Source organism: Homo sapiens, chromosome X, assembly GCF_000001405.40.
Source record: "Homo sapiens chromosome X, GRCh38.p14 Primary Assembly".
In the NCBI taxonomy this organism is placed as follows: domain Eukaryota; kingdom Metazoa; phylum Chordata; class Mammalia; order Primates; family Hominidae; genus Homo; species Homo sapiens.
The window spans coordinates 103,372,406-103,378,405 of NC_000023.11; the positions used below are offsets into that span (position 1 = coordinate 103,372,406).

Here is a 6,000-nt window from a genome sequence, read left to right on the forward strand (position 1 = left end):
CATTGAAACTCTTACAGTGACACCCTTAAAATTTCATCAGATTCATTCCACATTTTGGAAATCTTGGCATCAAAGTTATAATGGCCATAGCTTAGAGGAAAGCTGGAGTAGGCATAATTTCCTATATTCTTAACACCTAGTTTCAGTCTGTAATCGGTGCTTAAATTTAGAGAGAAAGAGAGAATCACAATAAAAAAGTATCAGTAAAGCATCAGAGAGGTACATAGAGAACCTATTCTAGGCAGGAACAGAGATACTCATACCCACAGGGCCCACTAGGGCTCAGACTACCTTCTCCCAAGCCTAGCATTTACACAGGAGAGATAATGAGAGGAAAACAGGACAATAACCACAGTCCAACCAGGTGCATTTCAGACAAGTACATGTGAGCCATGTCATGGCAATACACATAAAGATTTCAGCAAAAACGAGCTTCCACTGATGGGATACTAATACAATAGAGGGATCTTCACTAGTTGAGGTCAAATCATGAAACAGTTTTATTTTTCCAATAGCTGTATCAGCAGTGTTCTTTCTATCACTCCCTCCCCCACTTCGCATGGGGCAATGGGCTTCTTTAACTACATTTCTGTCCAGTTCTCCAACTTTTCAGTCACTACTGCTTATTAAAATAGTTTCAGTCAGACTAAAGATTTGGTTCTATTCATTTTCAAATGCCAATCTCACTTTTCATTCTGAGTCCTCCTGGTGCCTCCAGGGCAGATTAGAATTGAGGCTCCTGGGCTTGAAACATGTGTAAAACGTGTGTGTGGGGATAAGAACCATCTAATCAGTTCACCTTCTCTCTGCCTTTTGGGACACATGAATCCCAAATGCAGAATATAGTGTCCTTCTAACTTGGCCTTGAAAAAATTTGTTTTTGTTCTCAACAGTGTGCTGTCTATTTCCAACTCCTCAGAAAACTTCAGGGTCAAGAAAACATCTCAATCAACTCCTATTCACAACATTTTAGTAAAGATAACAGCATTTCCCGGATAATTTTCACCTATCTTTAAAACATTACTTTATTACAACTAATCAATATAGCATAATATCCAATCTGGATGTTACAAACAAATGTCTGTTTTCATCCAAGGAAATTTGATGGTTTTGAACACAGGATTTATCCAAGATGGGTGAAAAGGAAAACAGCAAAGCATTTAGCCACCAAAAGAAATAAAAATCCACTTGCTAAACTTCATATCCAATAGTCACATCACAGTGGCTTCTCAGCTTTCAGGAGATTTTTTTCTAGGTAATTCTTAATTTTCATAAAAGCTTTTCCGTATTGCTCTAAATACAGTCCCCAGAATGAAAAACAACCTATTCGCCTCAGTACTGGATACATTCATTCAACAAGTATTCAGTAATCACCTACTTGGTGCAAGGAACACTATTAGTCACTGGGTACACAAAATAGAACACAGCAAGCATGTTTTGGGCCCTCATGGATTTTAAGAACAAGTGGGTCTAGCTAAGGAAAGAATCATACTCTGCTACTCTTTAAATCATGTTAGAAACCATCGAATAACAATAAAAATAATGTCAACAAAAATTGATGATTTACTAGGCTATGTAGTAAATTATTGTTATGTGTAATTCTAACAATCCTTGTTTCACAGAGGAAGCACACAGACCTTGATAAGTAATTGATCCAAAGTTGAACATCAAGTAAACAGCTGACTGAATTTGAAGCCAGACTTGTCTGATACTACTGTTCATGCTTTGAAACTGCATCATTCCAGCTGATATCATTAATATAGCAATCTGTATAAAAAGTTCTTAACTGTGAGACAGAATCCAGGAATCACTAACATTTCTTTAAAAGACAAATATTGAGTGTGATTTTATAATTTGATGTTTTGGAGCTATGTACTAATATATCCATATACCTCTAGAAGAATATATATGTAATTTTATATGGAATACATATCTCCAAAACGTCTAACTACATACACACTGGGCATATACTCTTCCTTTATTCACTGTGTCATCTGGTTTAGCAGGGTAGGAAATTCTACAGGAGTTTGGGGCCAAAACTAGAGTTAGTAAGCATTTGTCTGGCTTGTCTTGCCTCAGTGCTGCATTTAATGCTTTTGGTTCCTTATCATAAACAACAGATATCAAATATTTTTTATAACAATGCCACTTTTCTAAAGACATCTCTATTTTCTAGCTGTGATAATTTTTTTAAAAATGATTTCAAGTTGGAGAAAGGAACATTTGCACTCAGGATAAGGTTCAGTCTCAAGTTAAGTTGTTTCACACACCCCCTGCTTATTTCTAATATATTTTGAAACATTCGCACCAAAGGGTAGATGGTTTTGAAACTACTTTCTGCATAATATGTACTTAACTTCTGAGCTCATACTAAGAAGATATTTGTAGGGATGGTTTGAAAGGTTTGGAAAGGAAAGCAGGGAATAAAAGACTCCCTTTCTCTGATGACTGTGATATCAAAAACATCAAAGTTACATAAAATGGTGAAGATCTGACGACCAGACTGCTCCCTGAAGATTCACTTTACAGATCATTTCGAAAACACCAACTGTGTTCAGAAAGAGTCCCGCCTTTCAGGCGCCTGTAGTCCCAGCTACTCCGGAGGCTGAAGCAGGAGAATGGCATGAACCCTGGAGGCGGAGCTTGCAGTGAGCCGAGATCGCGCCACTGACTCCAGCCTGGGCGACAGAGCGAGACTCCGTCTCGGGGGAAAAAAAAAAAAGAAAAAGAAAGAGTCCCGCCTTTTTATATATTTTTTTCTTTTCTTTTTTTTTTTTTTGGAGACGGAGTCTCGCTCTGCCGCCTAGACTGAAGTGCAGTGGTGCGACGCGGCTCACTGCAACCTCTGCCTCCCGGGTTCAACGATTCTCCTGCCTCAGCCTCCCGAGTAGCTGGGACTACAGGCACGTGCCACCACGCCTGGCTAATTTTTTTGTATTTTTAGTAGAGACGGAGTTTCACCGTATTAGCCAGGATGGTCTCGATCTCCTGACCTCGTGATCCGCCCGCCTCGGCCTCCCAAAGTGCTGGGATTACAGGCGTGAGCCACCATGCCCGGCCAAAAATAAAATTTTAAACGAGCTAGTATGTATCAAAAGTAATGGCTTGATGTTGTGTGGAGCCCAGAAAAAATATTTTGTGTGGTACAGGTCAACATAAACAATGAGAGATTTCATTGTGCAGGATAAAGCATTTCCTTTTTTTTTTTTTTTTTTTTTTTTTTTTTTGACAGGGTCTTGCTCTGTCGCCCAGGCTGGAGTGCAGTGGTGCGATCCCGGCTCACTGCAACCTCCGCCTCCCAGGTTCAAGCGATTCTCCTGCCTCAGCCCCCCGAGTAGCTGGGATTACAGGCGCACGCCACCACGCCCAGCTAATTTTTGTATTTTTAGTAGAGATGGGGTCTCACCATGTTGGCCAGGCTGGTCTCACACTACTGGCCTCAAGTGATCCACCCGCCTCGGCCTCCCAAAGTGCTGGGATTACAGGTACGCCACCGCGCCCAACCAGCATTTCTTTCAAAATTAAAAACTTATAATTTATAATTTTCTGAAGCATGCAGATTTTTTAAGGAAATAAAAAGAAATATATACAGTCCACTCCACTTCCTTGCCCCGCTTTCTGACAAATGCCCTCCTGCCTCCCCACCTTAGCCCTCACTCTAAATTTTCTAGAAGGGTAGGAATTCAGGGGCTACGTGGGCATTGATGGCTGTGCACACGCAAGGGGTAGAAGTGGGAGTGCAGCGCAAAGCATGTTGCCAGGTAGAAAAGGAGAGAAAGCAGAAAAGGCCAAAGCCAAGGCCTGAAGTGAGAGGGGGCAGTGGTGGAGGATGATGCAGACCCTCCCTGGTAACCAGAGGAGGGCAAACTCCAACCGCAGAGCAGTGATGCCACTTGTGGGCCCTCAGATTGGAGAGGACCGAGAAGAGTGACAGGGCTGTGCGCTCTGGGGCACCTCATGCAGACGGGAGTAGGGAGGCTGTTTTTTGCGCGTGCATATGGCGGTGGCGGGTGGGGGGAAGGGGGAGATCCTGCTGCACTGGCCGCCCAAGTTGGGGGGCGAGCTCGGTGGTGACGCGCGGCCCTCACGTGACCCAGAGCTGCAGAGCGACGCAGCCTTCGGTGCAGTCGTCACTCGCGTCTGGCTACCAGCTCCCCGCTGCCCTGAGCTCGGCGGGCTGGCATTCGGCCCGGGGAAAAGCGGAGCAGGTAAGGGCTCCGGGGCCCGTGAGCCCCGGCCATGCCAGCAGCGGCTGACCGACCTCGGCGACAGGCGCAGAACAGCGCAGGGGGTCCCCGCCAGCTTTCTCCACACCCCAACATGCTTGGGAACACAGAGGCCCCCAGGGATGGGGAAGCAGGGGCGGCTGGGTTTCCAGGGGCGGCAGAGCCACCAAGAGCGATGGAAACCCACCCCCGAGTCCCTGCAGGAAAACAGCGAACACCGCGGGGGGCTGGGCGTTCGAGGGTGGGGTGGGGGTGGGGGGCGGGAGACGCGGGGCGCTGGCAGCGAGGGGAGCCCGGGCTCGGAGCACGGAAAGGGCCGGGCGGCGGCGGGTCTTCGCTAGCGTTCCGCTGCAGCAGCCCCCACCCCCCACAACCCCCACCCCGGCTCGACTGCAGGTCTGCGAGGCTAAGTGTCTCCGCGGCGCACCTCGCGGCGAGAATCCGGAGGAGAAGGAGACTGCAAGGATAGGCCCAGGTCGGTGCGAGGGACGGTGGTGGGGCGGGGGTCGGAACGTAAGGAAAGCCCAGTCTGAGACCCCAACCCCCTCCACCCCATCCCCCACTCCTATACCGGTCCTCCATTTTGGTGCCTGCAAAGCTCTGGGAAAGAATCCCGGGAAACGAAAAATGGTGGGTTTGGGGGAAGGGAGGTAAGGGGAGAAAGCTGGAGGGAGGGGCTTTAATTGGAGGCCCCGTAGAGGACGCGCGGAACTTCTAAGGTGGGAAAAAACGAAATTAAAAAATCCTTTGATATCAGGGCTCTGAATCCTGCTGGTCAGAGCACCAAGCATTCAGTCTCTCTCCTTGCCTTTGTCTTACTTGTGTTCAAAGAAAAACAACCAGAAAAAAAAAATCTCATCATGGCAAATATTCACCAGGAAAACGAAGAGATGGAGCAGCCTATGCAGAATGGAGAGGAAGACCGCCCTTTGGGAGGAGGTGAAGGCCACCAGCCTGCAGGAAATCGACGGGGACAGGCTCGCCGACTTGCCCCTAATTTTCGATGGGCCATACCCAATAGGCAGATCAATGATGGGATGGGTGGAGATGGAGATGATATGGAAATATTCATGGAGGAGATGAGAGAAATCAGAAGAAAACTTAGGGAGCTGCAGTTGAGGAATTGTCTGCGTATCCTTATGGGGGAGCTCTCTAATCACCATGACCATCATGATGAATTTTGCCTTATGCCTTGACTCCTGCCATTTATCATGAGATTAATACTGTGATTCCCGCTGTTTTCTTTTTCCTTGCATTTTCCTAATATGCCTTTACTGATCCGTTTGCTGTGAACCCTATGTTATTTCCATGTGTCAAGTGGGTCTTGTGTTGCCAGCTTCTATTTGAAGATTGCCTTTGCACTCAGTGTAAGTTTCTGTCAGCAGTAGTTTCACCCATTTGCATGGAAAAATTTAAAGCTAATAAAGCAATTTAAAAAGCAATCTATACATTTATTGTCTCATTAAAAATGTATACTTACATATAACAGATGAACTAAAAAAAAATCTGAGATTAAATACACTAGAGTGTTAATTGGTGAACATTTCTGTGTGTTAACTAATCCCAGCACTTTGGGAGGCTAAGGTAGGCAGATCACGAGGTCAGGAGATCGAGACCATCCTGGCTAACACGGTGAAACCCTGTCTCTACTGAAAAAAAAATACAAAAAATTAGCCGGTCGTGATGGCACACGCCTGTAATCCCAGCTACTCGGGAGGCTGAGGCAGGAGAATGGCTTGAACCCGGAAGGCGGAGGTTGCAGTGAGCCGAGATC

General features: G+C 46.1%; 1 protein-coding gene across 4 annotated transcripts; it reads left to right on the plus strand.

Moving 5' to 3' along the window:
• Positions 1 to 3,917: 3,917 nt before the first annotated feature.
• BEX3 (brain expressed X-linked 3) lies at positions 3,918 to 5,759 on the plus strand. Of its 4 annotated transcripts, none has more exons than NM_206915.3 (3): positions 4,133 to 4,208; positions 4,623 to 4,701; positions 5,058 to 5,759. In NM_206915.3, the coding sequence occupies exon 3, from the start codon at positions 5,087 to 5,089 to the stop codon at positions 5,420 to 5,422; it is 336 nt and encodes a 111-aa protein (NP_996798.1). In that variant the 5' UTR covers positions 4,133 to 4,208; positions 4,623 to 4,701; positions 5,058 to 5,086; the 3' UTR covers positions 5,423 to 5,759. The 4 variants fall into 4 exon arrangements, with proteins under 4 accessions (NP_001269603.1, NP_996798.1, NP_996800.1 ...); NM_206917.3 differs by having other exon boundaries at positions 5,105 to 5,759; NM_001282674.1 differs by lacking the exon at positions 4,623 to 4,701 and having other exon boundaries at positions 3,918 to 4,208.
• The last annotated feature ends 241 nt before the right edge of the window (positions 5,760 to 6,000 follow it).

Excerpts from the sequence above, each read along its gene's own strand:
- BEX3 (NM_001282674.1), top strand. The coding sequence starts at position 3,998 with ATGGCGGTGGCGGGTGGGGGGAAGGGGGAGATCCTGCTGCACTGGCCG. Across the intron at positions 4,209-5,057 it reads CCCGGGGAAAAGCGGAGCAG|AAAAACAACCAGAAAAAAAA; the intron begins GTAAGGGCTCCG and ends TTGTGTTCAAAG.